The sequence below is a fragment of the Homo sapiens genome, chromosome 9 (genome assembly GCF_000001405.40).
Source record: "Homo sapiens chromosome 9, GRCh38.p14 Primary Assembly".
NCBI lineage: Eukaryota > Metazoa > Chordata > Mammalia > Primates > Hominidae > Homo > Homo sapiens.
In genome coordinates this window covers 105,518,731-105,541,525 of record NC_000009.12, presented here as the reverse complement: position 1 = coordinate 105,541,525, position 22,795 = coordinate 105,518,731, and the positions used below count along the sequence as shown (strand labels likewise).

General features: G+C 37.6%; 1 protein-coding gene and 1 pseudogene across 17 annotated transcripts in view, besides 2 other annotated features; both read right to left on the bottom strand.

The window, feature by feature from the left end:
- The window catches only part of FSD1L (fibronectin type III and SPRY domain containing 1 like), a 110,257-nt gene that overhangs the window by 10,908 nt on the left and 76,554 nt on the right, over positions 1–22,795 (bottom strand). For 9 of the 16 annotated variants that reach the window (XM_011519078.3, XM_011519077.3, XM_005252254.3 and 6 more), the window contains 3 exons: positions 6,933–7,033; positions 6,208–6,459; positions 2,175–2,263 (listed from right to left, as the gene is read on the bottom strand). The exons of 3 other annotated variants lie outside the window; for them this stretch is intronic. In XM_011519078.3, coding sequence (XP_011517380.2) covers positions 2,175–2,263; positions 6,208–6,459; positions 6,933–7,033 — 442 coding nt within the window. The remainder of the gene's footprint in view (positions 1–2,174; positions 2,264–6,207; positions 6,460–6,932; positions 7,034–22,795) is intronic. 4 more of the 16 variants (XM_011519079.3, XM_017015182.2, NM_001287191.2 and 1 more) reach the window with 1 other exon arrangement.
- Positions 14,207–21,702, bottom strand: RALGAPA1P1 (RALGAPA1 pseudogene 1; annotated as a pseudogene). The gene has a single exon (NR_104269.1). The product of NR_104269.1 is annotated as an RALGAPA1 pseudogene 1 (transcript).
- Positions 18,070–18,179: an enhancer, noted in NCBI's record as "active region_28742". NCBI's record gives its function as "activates an Ori minimal core promoter by ATAC-STARR-seq in GM12878 lymphoblastoid cells {active_cell/tissue: GM12878}" and the evidence as "EXISTENCE:reporter gene assay evidence [ECO:0000049][PMID:35858748]".
- Positions 18,190–18,289: an enhancer, noted in NCBI's record as "active region_28741". NCBI's record gives its function as "activates an Ori minimal core promoter by ATAC-STARR-seq in GM12878 lymphoblastoid cells {active_cell/tissue: GM12878}" and the evidence as "EXISTENCE:reporter gene assay evidence [ECO:0000049][PMID:35858748]".

Genomic DNA, 22,795 nt, shown 5'->3' with positions numbered 1-22,795 from the left:
ACTAATATAATTAGAGTATTATTTGGAATGAAAAACAATAAACTCAGTACATACATACATGAGATAGATTCAAATTAAAAGTAAATCTACTATTTATAAAAGCACACCTAAGTCTTGGAAAAAATTTTTCTGCATTCCACATGGTAAACAACTCATCCTTGATGGACCAGTTTGGAAAAATAGCCAAAAATGCGTAATATGGCAGAGGTTTGTACAAAGTTAAAAAAAAAAAAAAAAGGAAAAAGAAACAACCCTCCCTTCCAGTATCTTTATGTTTCCATGAGCAATAACTTTAGTCACTAATCACTTACTTTTAATGTAAAAATAGGTGTCCTGGTTATTAGCATTGTTTTAAACTTAAGAGATTAAAGTATCTGGAATAAATAATTACTATGGATAATGAGATTTAAAAGCACTGTATTTTCAACCCACTCTTACTCTGAAAACTTTCTCCTTATAGTTGAGAAGTTACAGTTAGGGGTGATGACAGAAGAATATACATGCAAAATATTCCATTTGAAATATACCATCTTGACTTATAGAGGTAGCCTCCAAATTTAAGAAAAGCTCTAGCCAAAGTAATGGTAACTTTAACTGGATCCCACAACTCCCCACGGGAACCTAACCTATGAAAAGATGCAGAAGGTTATGAGTTGGAAAAAGCAATAACATTTGCTTAAATAAATTCAAAACCATGTTTTATTTTGTGCAGAGAAACAAATTTTTCTTTTCAGCCTGAAATTGAGTAGACCTGCAATTACACAGGATGTAATTGCTATGTGGTGTGCATACATATATTCAGCATAGCACACAAAGACAGTCATCTAATATTTTGTACAAAGATGACACTGCACTATGATCTTGTCAATAAATGGTCCTGGAATAACTGGATATCCATGGGGAATTAAAGAACGTATCTAGATCCTTACTTCATACCAAACACATCAATTCTACATTGTACTTGCATTGTAAATGCAGTCTATATCTAAATGTACAAGGTAAAGCTTTTAGAAGAATATTTTCATGACCTTGGGGGTGCATACTGATTTCTTAAACAGAACACAAAAAGTGCTAACTGTAAATGAAAAAATTGATAAACTGAACAAAATTAACTTTTGTTTATCAAACAATACCAATAAGGAAAAAGGAAAGCCAGAGTGAAGAAGAGCCTACAAATTAACCCATAAGAAACACGAAGACAACCTAATAGAAATACAAGCAAAAGATCTGAATAGCCAGTTCACAAAAGCATATACCCAAATAGTCAACAAATATATAAAAAGGTGCTCAACAGCACTAGTAATCAAGGAAATGCAAATTAAAACCAAAATGTAATATATCATCCACTAGAAGGACAAAAAATTTTTTAAAAGATAATACTAAGTGTTGACAAGGATTTGAAGGAACTCAAATTCTTACATACTGCTAGTTGTAAATTAGCATAACCAACCATTTCAGAAAACCGGCAATTTTACAGTTGATTATACATATACGATATGATCTAGCAACCCCAATCATAGGTATATACTCAATGGAAATATACACATACATTTATCAAAAGATATGAACAAAAGTATTCATAGCAGTTCTATTTGTATAGCCCCCAAATGGAAACCACCCACATATCCAACTAAATTAAAATTTATAAATCAATTGATATAGTCACAGAATGGAAAACTATACAGCTATGAGAATGAATGAACTATAACCACATAGAATATGGATTAATCTCACAAGCATAATGTTGAGTCAAAAAGATACTGTATGATTCTGTTTATATAAAACTGAAAAGGAAGTAAATTTAGGGTATTAAAAGTCAATACAGTGCTAACACTGGAGAAGGGCCATTAGGGACTGGAAATGGGCACTAGAGGGGGCTTCTGAGGTTCTCGTAATGTTCTAAGTGCTAGTTACACATGAGTGCAGTCCTATAAAAACTCATCAAACTACATGATTTGTGTACTTCATGTATTAACATAAACTTCAATAAAATATACCAAAAATATATAAAAACAATCACAGATTTGGGAGAGGGTGAATTGGGGAAATGGAGGAGAATATGAAGAAAAAACAAAATATTCTCCTTCTCCAAATATACAGTATAGAATATTCTCCTTAAAGTTGCCAACCAAGTAAAATATGTTAGGTATATATAAGATATAAAACATACTAACCATGAAACCAGGTAGTACTGGCTGAGTAAATTTTGTCTTAAAGGAATATAGCAACTGTTTAGAATTTGCATCATAGAATGAAAGTTGACCTAAAAAAGAAGGAAAAAAAGCCTAATTTATTATACAAAAAATTGTAACATTTAATTAATTCTAACGCATAATCATGCAAAAAGTAATAATATATAAGTTGGCATTAATTTTTGTATGAGGACTGGATTAATTATTCTCACTTGAAAATCAGAAGGACAAATGCTTAAGGAAAAGCCCAATCCAATTTTCTTCCCCTGGTTTTCAAGACCTCTATAATACCTCTATAATCTAGCACGATTCGACTTATTTAATACAAACTATTTCCTTATTTGATCATTATTTAACAAATGGTTTCATTAGCCCAGTGTAAACCAAGGCCATTTCTTCCTCCTTATTTTTCCTATAACCAGCCTCTCTGCCCAAATTCTAATCACCATTTAAGGTTTACTCTATTAAACCTTGTCTTCTATCTACCTGATGCGATACTGATACTCCAGTCTCTAAAATCACAATATATCTATCACTGCTTCAATTTTGTTAATTTTTTTAACAGAGGCGGGGTCTTGCTATTTTGTATAAGCTGGGCTTGAACTCCTGAGCTCAAGCAATCCTCCACCTCAGTCTCCCAAAGTGCTAGGATTACAAGCATGAGCCACTATGCCTGACCTGCTTTGTTAATTTTTAAAATCACCTCACAGTATATCCTTCAATAGGATCATGCCCTAAAAAAAACTGTCTGTCTGACCTCCTAAACTGGCCAACCAAATGGCCTCCTTACAGCTGTTATCACTTCTTGAAACTCTTCTCTGATGACCATTCCCTTGGTTTGTATCATAACCCTGGGGATAACTTCACCATCTCCTCCTTTTCTTCCTGTTCTAAATGTAGCCACTTTGTCCATGCTCTCTTTTCTTTATATAATGCTTCCTTAATAAATCAACTGCCACCAAAGAGGAAGATAAAATAAACTAATATTTATGCACATTATTATGTAGATTGTTTAATATTTTGAGGTAATGTATGTAAAGTACCCAGTACTTTGATCTCGAAGTTGGTAAACAGCATAACGGTACATATGATCACAAAGTTAGTAAACAGCAGAATAGTAATGCTTAAATATATTGTCCTGTACAATCTTCCATAGCAATTCTGTAATGCTGTCTCAAATATTTAATGTCAGCTCTACTTAACTGCTGAATTCTAGCACTGAATTTCAAAATGCTTGCTAAACATGCCACATGATTATCCTGCTGGCATTTCATTTCCCCCCAAAACTCTATGTTCCCTATCCTGTTGACACTGTCATCCTCTTGATCACACTGGCTGGAACCTCAAAGTCATCTTCAACTGTCTGTCCTCAGCTGATCTGTATTTAGTTACTAAGTCCTATGAATTCTACTTCTACACTGTCAAATCCATTCTTAATTCTCCACTGCTCAGATGCTTGTTGCCAGTTACTCAACACTTATTAAGGGCTTTCTATGTGAAAAGCACTAGCCAGGCAATAAGGGCTTAATAGCTAACAAGAGACTCAGTCCTGCTCTACACCACTTGAAGACTGCTTCCCGAAAAGTCTTATGCTTGCTATGCTTTCGATCTCTTCCATCTTTAACCACTGACTCTCTAATATTTCTAAAACTCAATTATCTTATGACTATAGTGTTCTAAAACATGCAGAACCACCCCTCCCCACTACTGAAGACCAGTCCATTATTATTTTTCAAGGCTCTCAGAATCTGATCCTATTCCACAGTACAACTTCCCCTTGCCATACGTTATGTTCTAGACTAAAAACTGTATCTCACTACTACCTTTATGGACTCACAGAGTATGGGAAAGGAGAGAGAAGAAGCAAATGTTGTCTTGGTAGTTGAAAAAAAAATGTGTGCTAATAAATTTGCCATTTATCCTGAGGAAAATGATTTAACTGATTCAAGGTGAATAAGTTAAAAAACAAAAAACACAGCAAAGCTAACATGTCATCACTAAAAATAAATCAAGCCAAAATTACTTTTTCTCCTTTTTTGAGTAAATTAACTGACAGCTCACGGAATTATTTGGGCACAATATTACTAAAATAATAAAATTTGGTATTAGCTTAAGTGTCAACTTGGAGAAAAAACATCTAGGGAATTACTTTAGTTCAATATTATGTCATCTTCAAAATTATTATACATTAGATGACTGTAGAGAATATGCTTATGAAATAACTAATTCAATGAGCTTTAAAATTTTTTCAAAATATAAATATCAAGTAAATTTTTAGATAATTTTAAGACGGGAAATTTGGGCCAAATCTATTAAGATGAAACTAAAAAAGGGTAAATGTAATAGTCTTCATTTGCATTACATATAACATTGAGTTATTTTTAAAAACCATAAACTGGCTGGGTGTGGTGGCTCATGGCAGTAATCCCTGCACTTTGGGAGGCCCAGCCAGGTGGATCACTTGAGGTCAGGAGTTTGAGACCAGCCTGGCCAGCATGGTGAAACCCCGTCTCTACTAAAAATACAAAAATTAGCCAGGCGTGGTGGCATGCACCTGTAATCCCAGCTAACTCAGGAGGCTGAGGCAGGAGAGTCGCTTGAACATGGGAGGCAGAGGTTGCAGTGAGCTGAGACTGAGCCACTGCACTCCAGCCTGGACAACAGAGTAAGACTCTGTCTCAAAAACAAAACAAAACAAAACAAAAAAAACCAAAACCATAAACTGCCTAACAAAAGAAAAAGACAATTTGACATAATGCCGTGAAAAAAGATCTAATGGATTAGGGTAGCTACAAGCTCAATATTGATCAGCAGTGCTAAGTCATACTATTAGAAATAGCATAGCCAAATTACTGTCCTTTGCTGGTCAGAGGTCATGTGTTCCACTCTAAGACCAACCTTTAAGAAAAACACTGACATACTAGACAGCCATAGGAGATTATAAAGACTTGGAAAAATTAAATTTTAACAGGGGCAGCTAATAACAGAATATATGGTCTGGAAAAACAGGGCAAGAAAGTTTTTAATAAAGGATTATCGTGTGAACATGAGTGAGGAAACGTAATTCTGTGTTTATTCAGATGGGAAAATTTAAGGGAAACAATGTGAGTCAACTTAAGAAAAATCTTCTAACCAAGAGCTGTCCAACAATGAAACAGGCTGCTTTCTAAGACAGTAAACTTCACATTAAAAGTTCTTCAGGCACATAAGTGGCAACTACCTGCAGAGATAGTGTACTAAGAACTGTATACTGTGTGGCAGATGGAGTAATTTCTTTTCTTTTTTGGATTAGACTACACTGTGTTAATAATTTTGTAAGTAAAGAAATTCTGATATTGAGGGGAAACCCCTTTGGCCCCTCTAAAGATATCATGAGTCATTCTGAAGAATATTTTTAAAGACAGCAACTTGAAAATTAAGAACATTCCATTCGTTTCAAGTGTGATGCGGTTTGGCACAGTAAATATTTGCTGTATAGCTTATGTTTACTAGGATAGTAGAAAATATGGCTCTGGTATCTTCTTGAATTTTTTTTTAATTTTTGTAGGTACATAGTAGGTGTGTATGTTTACGCAGTATATGAGATGCTTTCATATAGGCATGCAATGTGTAATAATCACATCATGTAAAATGGGGTATTCATCCTGGGTTGGGTAATTTCTAAGATCTACTTCAACTAGAAAATTTTGACTATCACTCTTTAGAGGTAGGTAATAAAACATGGTAAGGAAGGAATTAAAATGGACAGAAGAAATGTTAGTGCTGAAGACTAAAATTAGCAAAATCTTTCAGACTTAGTATATTATAAATGAGTGCTTTTATAGGGCTCCAGGCAGACATCACATATACCATTCCAGTCAATTCTAGAATTGAGATTATGATTGCAATCAAAAGCCTACCTGATCAAAATGTCCTTCCCACAATACTAATGGAAATCCTGTATAGATGATTACCAGTGAAAGGTACTGAAATGCAAGCAACTATGATGAAATAACCTACGAGAAAATAAACTTACCCCCATCAAAATCACAAAATACACCTATTTTTTCAGGAACAGTAACATCCAAAGCTTTGACTTTATTATTATGCTTTGCTGCAAATGTGTTTTGTAGCCAGTTGTTGACATGGATACACCAACTAGTGTTTGTCTTTCCCAATTGGTCAAATTTCCCCAACGTTTTGTATGCTACTCCCACACTGTAGGATTTACAATCCTTCTGGGCCTTGACCTCCCAATAATGTTGTCCACTTTCAATAGCAGTGTCTCCTACAAAAGATCAGAAAGGTAGATTTGACTCATCTCTTCCTTATGAGTCACACAGTTTTACCTACCACTCGTCCCAAAAAAAGACACAAAAATTTTTATTCAAGTACTTTTCCTATAAGAATAATCATGTTAACACACAGACATTAAATGCTGAGTACCTGCTCTAACTTTACCTTTACGTTTAGTACTATTCTTGAATATAAAACGCTTCAGAGGTTTTCTTCCTTACTATCCCCCCTCCCGGCTTATATATAAAGATGTGGGAACACTACGTAAGCTGAAGTAGAGTTTTAAAAGTATCAATAATAATAAGACAATCTGAAAACTCCCCAAAGTAATTAGGCTTCAATTGGGAGAAATTTCTTGCAAAGATTTATTCAATATACAGGCAGTCACTTTGAGTGGAAAGTCCACCAGTGTGATTGTGATGCCTTTAATCTGAGATAATGAAAAACAATTATGTTTTGTCCTACCCAGCACTGTGTATGATTCTCCAGTAAAACGATCTCTACTGCCTCTTACTGCTGGTGGCCTGGAGCCTACAGATGTTCGTTTTGGGGATGGTGTACCACTTCTATATAAACAAAAAGAAAAAAGAAAAACAAATATTTTATACTGTAAATGTTTCATAAACTAAAACTAGAAATCATGGAAGGAACCTCTGAAAAGATTTCTAATTATGTTATAGAAATAACACCATTCAATTTGATCTGAACTAGTTAATTAAAGAGCGCTGTCAATTATAAACACTGAAATGTAAGAAGCTATCAATACAAAGCAGGCTGAAAACACTAATGGCATGCAGACTGAGCAAGGCTTATACAAAGAATACACGGCTGAAATAAGAAACAATGCTAAAATGTGACAAGATTTACTAAAGAAAAAAAAGAACTCAAGAAAGATAATGAGTTACAGCTTACATTTTTTTGCAGTTAAATGAAGGCAAAAATAGGTTTCTTCTTATAATCCTGACTAAATAACTCTTTTTATAAGCAGTGAGTATTTTTGCTCTGAATCTTACCTTCTTAAAAATAGAAATGGCGGCCAGGCACGGTGGCTCACACCTGTAATCCCAGCACTTTGGGAGGCGCCAAGGCAGGAGGATCACCTGAGGTCGGGAGTTCGAGACGAGCCTGACTAACGTGGAGAAACCCCATCTCTACTAAAAATACAAAATTAGTAGGGCGTGGTGGCACATGCCTGTAATCCCAGCTACTCGGGAGGCTGAGGCAGGAGAATCGCTTGAACCCAGGAGTCAGAGGTTGCGGGTGAGCCATGATTGCACCATTGCACTCCAGCCTAGGCAACAAGAGCAAAACTCTGTCTTAAAAAAAAAGGGACGGGGGGGCTGCACGCGGTGGCTCATGCTTCTAATCTCAGCAATTTGAGAGGCCAAGACAGGCGGATCTCGAAGTCTGGAGTTCGAGACCAGCCTGGGCAACACAGTGAAACCCCGTTTCTACTAAAAATACAAAAATTAGCTGGGTGTGGTTGTGGGTGCCTGTAATCCCAGCTACTCGGGAGGCTGAGGCAGGAGAATTGCCTGAACCCAGGAAGCAGAGGTTGTAGTGAGCCGAGATGGCGCCACTGCACTCCAGCCTGGGCAACAGGGCTAGACGCCATCTCAAAAAAAAAAAAAAAAAAAAAAAAGATGGAAATGGCAATTATCCAAATCCTTGCACAGGATAATATCAAGTATTATCAAGCATTTCTCCTACTCAAATAGACAAGATCCACCTTGACTTCCTCTTATATCAAATTATATGATATATGGAAAACTGGAGTATTGGGATGTTTACTAACATTCAAAAACTCAAAACAGATTCAGTCCCAAAGATGTTTTCAAAAACATTTTAATTATATTGAATTACTGCATTTAACAAAAGATTTTTTGGTCAAGATTATCCTAAAAGTATTTGGGGGATATGGGGATAACTATATTCTCACCACTAGTTAGAAATAAAAACACTTTTTTCTAACATAGCACTAGAAATTTTCTTCCTAAGAAAAGATCAACTGAGTAGATTTTAATATAAGCTACCAATACTAGACTAGAAATCCCTGATGGCAAAGCAAGAATACAGATAAAACTTAAAGTCATTTCATATGATTCATTTCATATGACTCAGTGACTTCATTCTGCATTATTTAAATGTCTTGCTGTCAGAAATCAGACTTATTAGACAATTTCAAAGAACTCAGGACCACTTCAACTGTCTCCTTTTTAGTGTATAATATTAAGTAGCAAAAGTGTAAGTCTAGAACTACAACACTCACATGACTTAGTTTAATTCTTCCCAAGGGATTTCAAAGGTCCTTTGTGTAAAGATGTTTCTTTAAAAAGACAACTAAAAACTGACTATAAGTTCTGTTTGAACAGATAGCATGAGCAAAGCTGAATGTGGATAGGTAGATTAAAATTTCTGTGAAACTTGTGCTAAGGTAGGCAGTAGTTTCTTGCTATTGGGTACGGGGACAGCAAAACAGAACGTGAGGGGGGAAAATTCCAGAATAGTTGTTGAGATCTCCAAAATGAAGGATAGAAACAAATAAAAATTATTAAACATTTATACTTTTTATTCTGAATACCAAAAATATATGTTTTCACTTCTTCAAGGTTTGAGATGAACATGTATTCTAAGCTGATCTTATACAATACTTGTAAGAGTCATTAACTAGTATAGTAAGAAAGTAAAACTGCAAACATTGTCAACTGATAACTCAGGAAAAAAGAACTGTATCATAATTTTCTTTCTGATTCATTTTATACAAGCTGATAGAGAATGTTAAAAGCCCGATCACAAAAGGTCTGTATGTTTTCAAAAGCTTTATCTTAAGCTCAGGAGAAAAGATAACATTACATTTGCCTCAAAGTTTAAAAAAATAGTACATGCAGCTCTATTTTCCTGATCTTGTGAGGGGCAAAGACTCTTGAAATCAATGGTGTTTAAACCATGTGCTGAACTCAAGGGAATCCACAGATGCCACAGAGGTACTCTGGGAAGAAGCCAGATTTAGGGCTTCCTCCCTCCTTTAACCAGCTATACTTTTCTCTTTTTGGATCAGGCTTCTGGAAACATTTCATGAAAGAAACCATGCTGTTGCTTTTCTTAAAAAGAGGTGTGAAAAAACAATGTTTTAGATGCAACATTAAAAGAAGACATGAAAAGGAAGAGGGCGAAAGTAAAATTGTTTCAACACGGTATATAAATTATAACAAAAAAGCTTTTAGGTCTCCAGAACACCTATATAATAAAAGAACTTCCTGTGGTTGACAGTTATTCTCCAAAAGTTCATGTGACATTATCTGAAATGAAAGTACATTCTCCCAGAAAAAATGAGTGCAGAGGTCACCAAATATTACCCAATTCATCAAGTCACCAATTCATAAATTGACTGCACATTAATCTTCCTCCACCCAAGTTATTCAACAGCAAATATTGGTAACTATACAAAAATGAACACAGTTTTAATTAATCACGTCAGTATTTGTAAAAATTACTTTTGTAACTAGAGAAGGAAGATGGGATACAATAACCTGAGAACACTAGCTCTTCATTATATCTAACTTCACTTTAAGCCCCAGTGCTTTTTAGTATTGCTAGTACTATCTTACCATTAACAATCATGACTATGGTTGCTATTCAGCTAAGAAACAGAGCAAAGAAAGTCAACAAGATTTTGTTTTGGGTAACTAGGTAAGAATGAAATGAAAGGAGAGGAGAGGTTAAAGTAAATGTGTAATCAGGAGTGAGGAGGAATTAAATGAACCAAACCAGTGGTTCTTCAACCCAGCTGCACATCAGAATCACTTGGGGACCTTTTAAAAATGCAAATTACCAGGACTTACCATAAACTACTAAATCAGATACTGGAGGGTAGGCTTGAGAAACACATGTCTGGTTTTTAAATTAAGAATTTCAGGATTTTGCTGTTCATCTGGGCTAGGAGCCACTGAGGTAAAACAAAGCAAAACTCCTCTATCAAGGAGTAGGGATTAAAAGGGTGATGAAAAGACAGGTTTTACAAATCTATCATACGGCATGCTTAGCGCTTATTGGTTACGGCAAGTGAGGAACTTGGCTATGGAGTAGCTGAGGGAAGGGAACTAACTGTTGCTAGGAACCACATCTCATCTCTGTATCCTCAGTACAGAGTAGGTGTACAATATCTGACTAGAATGAGCTCAGCTGAGTAGAGTATGTGATACTATCAATTAAGGAACACCTGTATCTTCCTGAGCCAAAGTACTAAATTGAAAAAACAAAGGCCTTTGGCATTTTGTAATAAATCAATGATTGTCAACTGAAAAGGCACAGCAGATTCAGAAACAATCAGGAAACTTTTTCAAAATACACTGATAGTTTGCCTCCCCAACTGGTGGTCAGAGTGTCTGCTGAGAGGAAACATGCATTCTGAAAAATATTTCCCAAGTAACTCAGGGCAACAAATAGAAAGTGAACGTCATACAAATAAAGAGAAAAATTTCACTTAGCACTGCTTCAAAATGTATTAAGAGCTCTTTTGATAACAGAAAAACAATTTTTAAAAATTTGTAACTTACCAGTAGTAAAGAAATAAAGGGAAGCATGGAGAAAAGAAAAACAGACATAACTATTGACATTGGCAGTTTAATTTCAGAGAAAAGTTAAGTAAGGAAAACTCTTCCATTGCAGCATTCCAGACTTCCAATCCTAAGTCACTTTTGCAAGAAACAACTTATAATAAGTTTTATGTCAAGCATGATCTCCTCCCATCCCCTCCCTCACCCCACTTCCCTAAAGGACACCCTGACCACTTAACTATCTGAATTTAAGTAAGCCTCTTCAGCTACCTCTAGTCTGGACTGTTTTACCAGCTTCCCAAATAATTTCTTTACTGTCCAATTCATCTTTTTCATTATTACAAGATAAAGCTTACTCTGATTCCTCTATTTAAAAATCATCATTTACTTCTATACTACTTACAAACGACTTAGCATGACATTCTGGTTCTTGATTTAGTCCTAATCTGCCTTTCTAGCCTTCTAACTCCTAGAGAGCACTATATAGCTAAATATACCAGTCAAAATGTTGTTTAAACTCACACCATCTGCTTCAGTGCCTTTGCTATGGCTGTTCCGCCTTTCACTGCAAGTCTAACAACCATACATTTTCCCACTTGCTCAAGAACCGGCCTAAATACCACTTCTTTAATGAAAGTCCCCCAAATTCTAACAGGTTAAATAACCTGTCTCAGGACTCTTGCTCCAGACCCAAATCCTGTGTGTGATTTTTTTTCTCTTTTTTTTTTAATATTATTATACTTAAAGTTCTGGGGTACATGTGCAGAATGTGCAGTTTTGTTACATAGGTATACATGTGTCATGGTGGTTTGCTGCACTCATCAACCGGTCACCTACCTTAGGAATTTCTCCTAATGCTATTCCACCTCTAGACCCCCACCCCGACAGGCCCCATGTGTGATGTTCCCCTCTCTGTGTCCACGCGTTCTCATTGTTCAACTCCCACTTATGAGTGAGAACACGTGGCGTTTGGTTTTCTGTTCTTGTCATAGTTTCTGAGAATGATGGTTTCCAGCTTCATCAGTGTCCCTGCAAAGGACATGAACTCATCCTTTTTTATGGCTGTGTAGTATTCCATGGTGTATATGTGCCACATTTTCTTTATCCAGTCTATCATTGATGGACATCTGAATTGGTTCCAAGGCTTTCTGTTGTGAATAGTGACCCGATAAACATATGTGTGCATGTGACTTTATAGTAGAAGGATTTATAAATCCTTTGGGTATATACCCAGTAATGGGATTGCTGGGTCAAATGATATTTCTAGTTCTAGATCCTTGAGGAATCGCCACACTGTCTTCAACAATGGTTGAACTAATTAATTTACACTCCCACCAACAGTGTAGAACAGTTCCTATTTCTCCACATCCTCTCCAGCATCTGTTGTTTCCTGACTTTTTCATGATCGCCATTCTAACTGGCGTGAGATGGTATCTCATGGTGGTTTTGATTTGCATTTCTCTAATGACCAGTGATGATGAGCATTTTTTTTAATATCTTTGTTAGCATATGTTTGATAAGTGTCTGTTCATATCCTTTGCCCACTTTTCGATGGGGTTGTTTTTTTCTTGTAAATTTGGTTAAGTTCTTTGTAGATTCTGGATATTAGCCCTTTGTCAGATGGATAGATTGCAAAAATTTTCTCCCATTCTGTAGGTTGCCTGTTCACTCTGATGACAGTTTCTTTTGCTGTGCAGAAGCTCTTTAGTTTAATTAGATTCCATTTGTCAATTCTGGCTTTTGTTGCCATTGCTTTTGGTATTTTAGACATGAAGTCTTTGCCCATGCTTATGTCCTGAATGGTATTGCCTAGGATTTCTTCCAGGATTTTTATGGTTTTAGGTCTTATCTTTAAGTCTTTAATCCATCTTGAGTTGATTTTTGTGTAAGGTGTAAGGAAGGGGTCCAGTTTCAGTTTTCTGCATAGCTAGCCAGTTCTCCCAACACCATTTATTAAATAGGGAATCTTTTCCCCATTGCTTGTTTGTGTCAGGTTTGTCAAAGATGAGATGGTTGTAGATGTGTGGTTTTATTTCTTAGGTCTCTGTTCTCTTCCATTGGTCTATGTATCTGTTTTGGTACCAGTGCCATGCTGTTTTGGTTACTGTAGCCTTGTAGTATAGTTTGAAGTCAGGTAGCATGATGCCTCTAGCTTTGTTCTTTTTGCTTAAGATTGTCTTCTCTATGCGGGCGGTTCCATATGAAGTTTAAAGTAGCTTTTTCCAATTCTGTGAAGAAAGTCAATGGTAGCTTGATGGGAATAGCGTTGAATCTATAAATTACTTTGAGCAGTATGGCCATTTTCACGATATTGATTATTCCTATCCATGAGCATGGAATGTTTTTCCATTTGTTTGTGTCCTCCCTTATTTCCTTGAGTAGTGGTTTGTAGTTCTCCTTGAAGATGTCCTTCACATCCCTTGTAAGTTGTATTCCTACGTATTCTCTTTGTAGCAATTGTGAATAAGAGTTCACTCATGATTTGGCTCTCTGTTTGCCTGTCATTGGGGTATAGGAATGTTTGTGATTTTTGCATATTGATTTTGTATCCTGAGACTTTGCTGAAGTTGCTTATAAGCTTAAGGAGATTTTGGGCTGAAAAGATGGGGTTTTCTAAATATACAATCATGTCATCTGCAAACAGAGACAATTTGACTTCCTCTCTTCCTATTTGAATACGCTTTATTTCTTTCTCTTGCCTGATTGCCCTGGTCAGAACTTTCAATACTATGTTGAGTAGGAGTGGTGAGAGAGGGCATCCTTGTCTTGTGCTGGTTTTCTTTTCTTTTTTTTTTTTGATAAGAATATTTTTATTGTATTATTAAATACCATGTCATCTTTTCCCCCCACTGTTACAAATTATAGATACTACGTGAATGATACATAATTTATATTTTACGGCTTGCCAGTATGATGTATTTACACATGCAGTTAGTACCAATATCATGCTACATTTCCTCAGGAGATGCCCATTCAAAACAAAATGTGAGCAGCTTATCTACTGTAAGAAAATACTTCTAGAGGGTGGAATGTATACCAACCTGGACCTGCAAGTTCAGTATTAACAATATTAGATTTAACTTAGACTCCTGGGTTAGGTTCCTTTTTCTTTTTTAAATAGTACTCATAATTTGAACAACATATTTATATCAGAAAATTTTCCTTCTTTTCTTCCCCATCTTCTTTTTGGTGCTTAAAAAAGAACATAGAAACACCAGGATCTAGCAGCCAATAATAAAAGGCCACAATCTGAAAACAAATGGCATTTAACAGTGATACCACTTGAAATGCAAAACATTAGAAAAATACTTGGAAGCTAAACATAAAAGTTCAGCACAGTGATTTTTCTAGTTATTGGATATAACATGGCATCACCTGCACAGCCAAGAAATGAGACATTGCTTTGGGAAGAAGAGTTAATACTAAAATGATTTCAGTTGGAATTTGAGATGCTAAAGACCATTTATTTTGAGTGTTTTATTGTCATAACAAATAATCTGTACACATTCTGTGTATTAACAGGTACATCTTTTGCTGTAACTTTACAAATGCTTAAATGTAAAATTTTACATTTGTAAAAAATTATATATTTATTGAACCATAAAGTTGCAATGGAGCACAATAAATAATGAGACTAATTGTCCAATTGTATTTTGGCTCACAGTTAACCATGAAATTAAAGATAAAACTACTTAGACATAATTATCTAGGAAGGTAAAGGGTGTAGAATAAAACTCCCCCTGCCCTCAAAATATGGCAGCTTGGATTGTGGGAAAAAAATGAAACAATAAATAACTTAAATCTTTAATATTAAGCTACAAATTATTTAAAATTATTTAAATCCAGTGTTTTCTCAAATAAATGTACAGGAAGAAACATGCATGTTATGGCAGACATGAAGGCCTGAAAGGGTTAACCCTATGTTCATGCTAAGGTGGCTACTGCTGATCACTGCTGGGCTGCTTGTCTCCTTAGGATTTATTGGCTGAGCCAGAGGAACGACGCAGCTTCATGGACATGCGGCTTTTGCTAGTTCGAGGAGACATTGGAGAGGCCAGGTCAGCCCCATCTACCTGCGCTGCTGTGGGAGTTTCACTGGGTAGAATCTCTGGGTAGGAGCCTTCAGATAAACAGAACTGATATTTAATGATCGGCATCAGATGGTAAATGGTGGTAGGGAGCTGGAGAAAAAACCTGTGCTGCAAAATCTTCAAATGTTGTTGGTTCTAAGTGGTGCTGGACAATTGTTTGCAGGTATCGTGCTCTCTCCTCATAGAAGTTTTGATACAATGGAATCAGAGATTTCAGAGCACGGCTTGCATTTATAGCTGTTGCTCTAACCATAATGGGTAGAACCTTTCCATTCACAATAGCACCATCAAAAAGGGGACCAAAGAAGGGAACCTCTGGTTTTCTCATTATCTGAATACTGAACATGTGATTTTTCATTGGATATATTACAATAAGGACATCACCAAATTCTGTGGGAATAATTCCTCTCCTGTAGTCTCTAGTATGCTCTGACCAAACAATGTGCACTTCATCATTTCCCAAATGTCTCAATTTTTTGGTCAAAGAATCATCAGAATCAGAAGGCATTCTTGTTGACATGTGAAATATTACTTCTACTGTAGAGGTAGCAAAATATGGAGTGGTCAATCCAGTGCTTTTGTTTTTTTGTAGTCCTCCCATAAAACCACAATGGTTTGTAAGATTTACCTCCAAACCAAGACCAGCTACAAAATCTTCATATGCTTGACTTCCTCCTGTATTGGTGAGAATGGAGTGTTTGTCTTCTTGTCCTTCAGCAACATAAAATACTGCAATCTTGTGTGTCTCTCGGCACTGCCTTGAATCCAAGTTCCTAAGTTCTCTAAGTAGCTTTTCATTTTTCTTCAGGAGATGAAAGCTCCTCCGTTTGTCCCAGGAATTCATTCCCAATATACTAAGAAGCAATCTGCAATAATAAAATGCTGACTGAGGTTTTTGAGGTATTGGTTCATCTTGTTCCACAGCTTTCATGTTTAAGTCATTAAAGTGCTTCTCAACAAATTCTTTTTCTTCTGTATGTTGCTTAAGGATAGCATTAATAACATCACTTTCTTGTTTTTCAGAAATGCACACAGGTTGTGGAGCAGGAATATTAAGTGAGATTCCAGTTCTCTGTAAGCATTCAGGACTAGTAACACCCAAATACTGCAAGAGTTCATCAAGAGCATCTTCTTCATCTCTTATTGTATCCCAAGTTGGTACAGTTTCTCTAAATCTTTTAAACTGGAAAGTCCATCTTTTACGGTTATATCTTCTAAGCATTCATTAGATGTCGGAGGCTCTTCTGGCTTCTCTTGGTGAGACAATGAAAGCATGAAAGATGTAGGTTCTGACAAGCCACTTACAGGAGGTGGGCCATACAGTATAGCAGAATCCCATGAATATTTTCCAGAGAGATCACGTACTATGATTCTGACATTTGAATTGGCTGATGCAAGGCCAGCAGATAAACCTCCTCCAGGCATATTCTCTTCTGATCTGATCTGGATACAGGACACTAAGGTTGTATTATTAACACAAAGAACTGGATATTTGGACTCTCAAAGAGTTCAGGAGAAAGTTCAGTACTTTCACTGTAATGATTGTCGTGATTTTCACACACCTGACTTGTTAGCATAGCAGGACCACCGCTCATTGGATAATGGCCCAGGTGATTTACCAGATGTGTAATAACAGTGCGGGCTGCTATAGAGATTAATCCATGCTGCATTTGAGTTTTCACTTCTGTTACTGGCTGGAGTTTAGAAGATCGTTCTGAGTCAGGAGAGCGCAGAGGCTCAGGCTCTTTCAGACTTTCCAAATGCATAAAAGGATCATAATCTACAGATGCCAAATCAGAGAGGCTCATGGGAAAATACCTTGGATTGCTAAAACACTGAGCTCCATAAACACACCCATGTAAAACCTTATAAATGCAATTGAGAACAGATTTTTCTGTTTTATCGCTTTCTGCTCCCGTAGCATGAAATGGTTGGAGCAGTGTCTTTAGAGGTAAGGCCATGATCCAGTCCAGAAGGCAGAGAAGTAAAGATACTACCAACCTCTTGTCCATTTCATAAGATGAAGCCTCTGTACTTGGTAAAAGATGGGTGATGGTAGCTATTAGGATCTGAATAATTTTCAAGGGAGAATCAGGCTGGTAAATCTGAAGTCTAGGTACATAATGAACCAGCATGTGAAGCATGTTACAAGCTACGTGGGCTACTGTTTTATTAGTAAACTTTAAGGAAACACAAATCACATTCAGAGCTTCCTTAATTTGAGGATGATGAGACTCATGGACTAGTTCTTCACAAATCCAAATACCTAAACTACAAAGTGCTACACATCGTGCAGGACCAGAGGGCTCATCTCTTGCCGAGCTTAATACAGTTTTGATTATAAGTTCCTTAACATCTGTAAACTGAGACACAGCAACATCAGGAATGTTGGGATGAAGAGAAGGCAGTTCACAATATAAGTTGGGAAAGCAAACCAAAGATCCCAGAAGAACTTGTGCTTCTACTCTTGGTGCATTGAGAAAAGCTGAAGAAGCCACTCTACCAGCTGCTACAATAAAATCCATAATAAGCATTGTGGCACCAGGCAAACCAAGTGAAAAAAATTGAGGTGAGCAGTGTTTGATGATTGTATTGACAATATCCTGGTCAATATGAAGTAATCCACAATGCATTATATTGTAGAAATGTGTTAGAAAATCTCTATTTGGAGAAACATCTTGTCTTCTTTTCATTGTATTACCAATAAGTTTATATGCATGTAATTTACCTTGTTTATATTTATCAGTCAACATGGTTGCCTTAAAAAGCCAAGGTGTAAGAATTCTCAGTGGAGGAATTAAAACTGGTGGAGAAGGGGAGGTCAGGTTATCAGCTGAAATGCCGAGGTTATCTCTAATCTTAGCTAGATTCTGCCAAAGTTCACAGAGGTAATCAAAAACTTGAGCATGTATTTCAGGATCCATGATTGAATTTACATCTCCCAAAATGCCTAGCATTCTTCGCCACATTACAGTAGCAACATCAGCATGCCATCCAGTCAGAGTACCTCCTGCCATCACACTACAACATTCTGATGGAAATTCACTAATTTCTAGATCATCTGGTGTCTGAAGAACAGCGTGGTGGAGCTTCTCATCGAGCTGCAGATCCTTCTGTTCCATGTGATCTATATTCAATGTAGAAGGGGAAGGAGTCTGTGACCTGGAGCACAGAGGTGAGTGGACTGGGGAAGCACTTTCTGAACCAGTAATAGTTGCAACTTCAGCAGAGAAAGCTTGCTGATTAAGACTGCTTGTTTCAGAATCTATATGAAGAGTAGTTAGACTAGCCACTTCCTGCTCTTCAGCACTCTGATGATGGCCAGAACCTGAATCCACATCAGCAGAGGACGTAACCCCAGTGTCGGCTCCAAAGCCAAAATTGTCAAATTTTTGGCCATCATATTGGAAAGCGCTGAAAGAATCCGAATGACTATCTGAGCTGATAAGATCACTGCTCCCTGCACTGGCAGGAGAAGTCCATTCTGAGGGCACACCTGGGTCATCAATAGGGCGCATCTGGTTCTGCTTGTTTAGAATATCAGGGAGGTCTTTGGGAATTTCCAGGCTGCCTGGACTACTTCCTCTTCTTGTCATAGTCGAGGCATTACCACTTCGAAGTCATTCTGCTATAAACTCATCCATCAGATCAGGAACATTAGCACTGCTGCTGCCAATATCACTATTAAGAGGAGGCAGTTTTTGGCTCATGTCCTCTTTATTGACTTTGGCTCGTTCAACAGTGAATGGTTCCAAGATGTCAGAAGTGCTGCTACTTCAAGGCAATGGCTGCTCCTCATTCAAAGCACCAAAAACTTCATTTCCAGTTTCTTCACTTTGTGAAAAATGTCTGACTCTAGTTGAGCGGGGAAGTATTTGAGCATCATCAATATCGACAGTTTTTTGCCGTACTATACTCCTCGCCTTTTCGGTTCCTGGAGAACCAGTGGTTGTTGCACTCCTCTGTCTCATTGGGGCTTGGCCAGGCTGATCACGACTCCATCCTCTAGAAAATGACTTGTCAACTGAAACTTTCTGAAATTCATGTCCAACTCCTTTCCCTTTGTGCTTTTTTTGTTTCTGTTCACTCAGCTTATCCAATGGTAAATCACTGAGATCCAAACTATATAAATTCCTAGCTAAAACTTTAGTTAATGTCTCCATAGTCAGTGACCACTCAGTGGCCAACTCTTCCCAATAGGTCAACGATGACAATACTGACAGTAAGTCATCCCAAAGTTCTCGGGAGATGTACACATTTAGGTTTGCTTTGATCCAGGCAACTATAAGGGTCTGGAAAAGTGGTCCTGCAAGTCGACCTGCCAAGGTCATATTTTTTTTCCCTTGGAACTGTAGAAAAGCTTGTGATGGCATCTTCAGTACAGATTCCGTGACTCTGAGCAACACAAGCAGCATGTGTTCCCAAGTCTTTTTGTCCATTGATACTTGTACAACCATGTACCGATAAATGTTAAGAATGCGTTTACACATATCTGTGTGTTCATCCAGAAGATTTTTTATTTCATTTGCAGGTTCAAGAAGAAATATATTTGATGAGTTTATAATAAACACCTGCAAAACTGCCTGGGTACCAGCTCGTATGTTTTGTTCTGTGGCTTCTTCAGAGGTGTTATGAAGAGCACCTTGGTAGGAGCCGTTTTTTGCCCAACTGGAATTTCGAACATGATCAGCAGTATTGGTCCCATTTTCCTCTTCTCTTTTTTCTCCTTCTTCCATTGAAATATCATGGTCTGTGACATTTTCAATGCAAGGGAGGTCTGAAGAAGTGATCACAATTTCTTCAGGCTCTTGCATGAACAAAGGTTTTTCCTCTTGTTGGATCCATTCTTGATATACTTTTACCACTTTTCTCATAGCTGCTGCTTCACAAATTGGTAATAAAAATGCCTGACGAAATATCTCTGTCACAAAGTTTACATTACTCCTTTTAGAAGAAAAAACTCTGCGAACTATTTCAATGTCTGTGAGATGTTCTTCATCAATACTACAGAGACTAGATGAGCTAGGTTCTCGCTCCGTGAGAGTGCTTGTATTGGAATGAGACTGTTCGGGTTCTGTAGTTCTGTCTGCTTTATCAGCATTATCATTTTTGCTTTCTTCTCTGGATACTAAACTAGCAGCTGCTCTCTGAATATTCTTTGGCAAGACTTCACCTTCCATCCCAGGAATATGAGGTCCTGTATGTGGTTTTGGCTCCAGCCAGAAAGAAACCAGCCAACGAATGACAATAACACGAGCCTTAATGAAAGGCTCCTTTGTACAATAGATTGCTTCATTGGTTTCAGCATCTTTCTTTATCATGACATAATGTGGCTTTGGTCTCATCTGCGGGATGTCAAGTATAGGATGATATAAACTGTTTTCCTTACAGATGTTTGGAAAAATATAAGGCAAGTAATATTTCTTAAAATGTGAAAACAAAAATGAAAATCCCCTTTCTTGGTTTTCTTTGTTCTTCCATTCTAAACTTTTTACCTGAATGACTATGTATTTTAGAAGTGCTTCAAGAAAATAGCTTGTGAGATCTTCTTGCCCTTTATCTCCTGATTGTGGGGGGACAAGAGGAGTGATTTCTTCTATAGTGACTTGAGTTTCTTAAAGGTTGAGTGGAGGATTAATGAGATTATCTAAAGTTCGAGGTCCATGTTCAGACTGTGGTGCTGAAAATCCAGGGATTAAGCATGAAAACATCCAGAGCTGTTCTTTGCTACAGTTATTCTGAAGAGCTTGCAACCATAGTAAGAAAAGACGAACACCTTCCCGCCTAATCTTTAAGGAGTCTCCTGTGTGAAGTAGCTTCTTTAAATCAATCCAATATTATGAAACTGCCATGGCTGATGAATTCTTTCTGGAAGAAGTTGTAAAATTTTCTCAAAAATAAAAAGTATAGCATCCAGTTCCTCTCTTTGAGACTTGTGACCTTTCTGTTTAAGACTAGCTTCGATAGTCACAAAATTTTCAAAGAACACATAGTATATATGTAAAAAATGTTGTCGAAAAACTGTTTAAGATCAATAGATTCTGCATTCTTTTTTTCACTAAATAAACATCACTTTCCAAAACAAATACGCATCAGGAAGACAGCTCGAGATAAACTCTGAACTAGGATTCAGGCATCTGGATGAATGCATCTTCTTCAGCCAGTTCCACCATTAACTCGATGACGATGCGCAGGTGCTTGAGGCGAGTCAGTGCGTCCTTCTTGGTGTCTAGCACCTTCTGGGTGGACTTCTTCACGTCCCCGTGCGGCTTCTTGGAGAACATCCTGCCGCTGCCACTGCCACTGCCACTGCCACTGCCACAGCCGGCTCCCAGCGGCAGAAAGTGGAGGGAGTGGACGGGGAGGAGACTAGCCAGAGAGGCTCATTAGCTCCCCAGCCTTGCGGGCCAGGGCAGAGCCGACTCCTCCCCGATCCAGGCCAGGGCCGCCACCTCCACCCGCCTCGCGCCGCGGCTCCAAGGCACCTTCGGCCCCAGCTCCAATATGGCGGATCCCTCTCCCGGCCCTGCACGGAGCGAGGTAGACCCGGGCTGGCCGCCTGCCGCCGCCGCTCGTCTCCAGCGGCCGCCGCTCGCCGCCACAGGCCGGGGCCCCGGATCCAGAGCCACGAAGGTGGAGCTCTCGGAGGCAGCAGCACAACTCTCTCCCTCTGTGCTGGTTTTCAAAGTGAATGCTTCCAGTTTTTGCCCATTCAGTATGATACTGGCTGTGGGTTTGCATAAACAGCTCTTATTATTTTGAGATACATTCCATCGATACCTAGTTTATTGAGAGTTTTTAGCATGAAGGGGAGTTGAATTTTGTCAAAGGCCTTTTCTGCATCTATTGAGATAATCATGTGGTTTTTGTCATTGGATCTGTTTATGTGATGGATTATATTTATTGATTTCTATATGTTGAACCAGCCTTGCATCCTAAGGATGAAGCCGACTTGATTGTGGTGGATAGCTTTTTGATGTGCTGCTGGGTTCGGTTTGCCAGTATTTTATTGAGGATTTTCGCATCAATGTTCATCAGGGATATTGGCCTGAAATTTTTTTTTGTTGTGTCTCTGCCAGGTTTTGGTATCAGGATGATGCTGGCCTGATAAAATGAGTTAGGGAGGAGTTTGTCTTTTTTTATTGTTTGGAATAGTTTCAGAAGGAATGACACCAGCTCCTCTTTGTACCTCTGGTAGAATTTGGCTGTGAGTCTGTCTGGTCCTGGACTTTTTTTGGTTGCTAGGCTATTAATTACTGCCTCAATTTCAGAATTTGTTATTGGTCTATTCAGGGATTCGACTTCTTCCTGGTTTAGACTTGGGAGGGTGTATGTGTCCAGGAATTGATCCATTCTAGATTTTCTAGTTTATTTGCATAGAGGTGTTTATAATATTCTCTGATGGTAGTTTGTATTTCTGTGGGATCAATGGTGATATCCCCTATATCATTTTTTATTGCATCTATTTGATTCTTCTCTCTTTTTTTCTTTATTAGTCGGGCTAGTGGTCTATTTTGTTGATCTTTTCAAAAAACCAGCTCCTGGATTCACTGATTTTTTTAAAGGTTTTTAGTGTCTCTATCTCCTTCAGTTCTGCTCTGATCTTAGTTATTTCTTGTCTTCTGCTAGCTTTTGAATTTGTTTGCTGTTGCTTCTCTAGTTCTTTTCATTTTCATGTCAG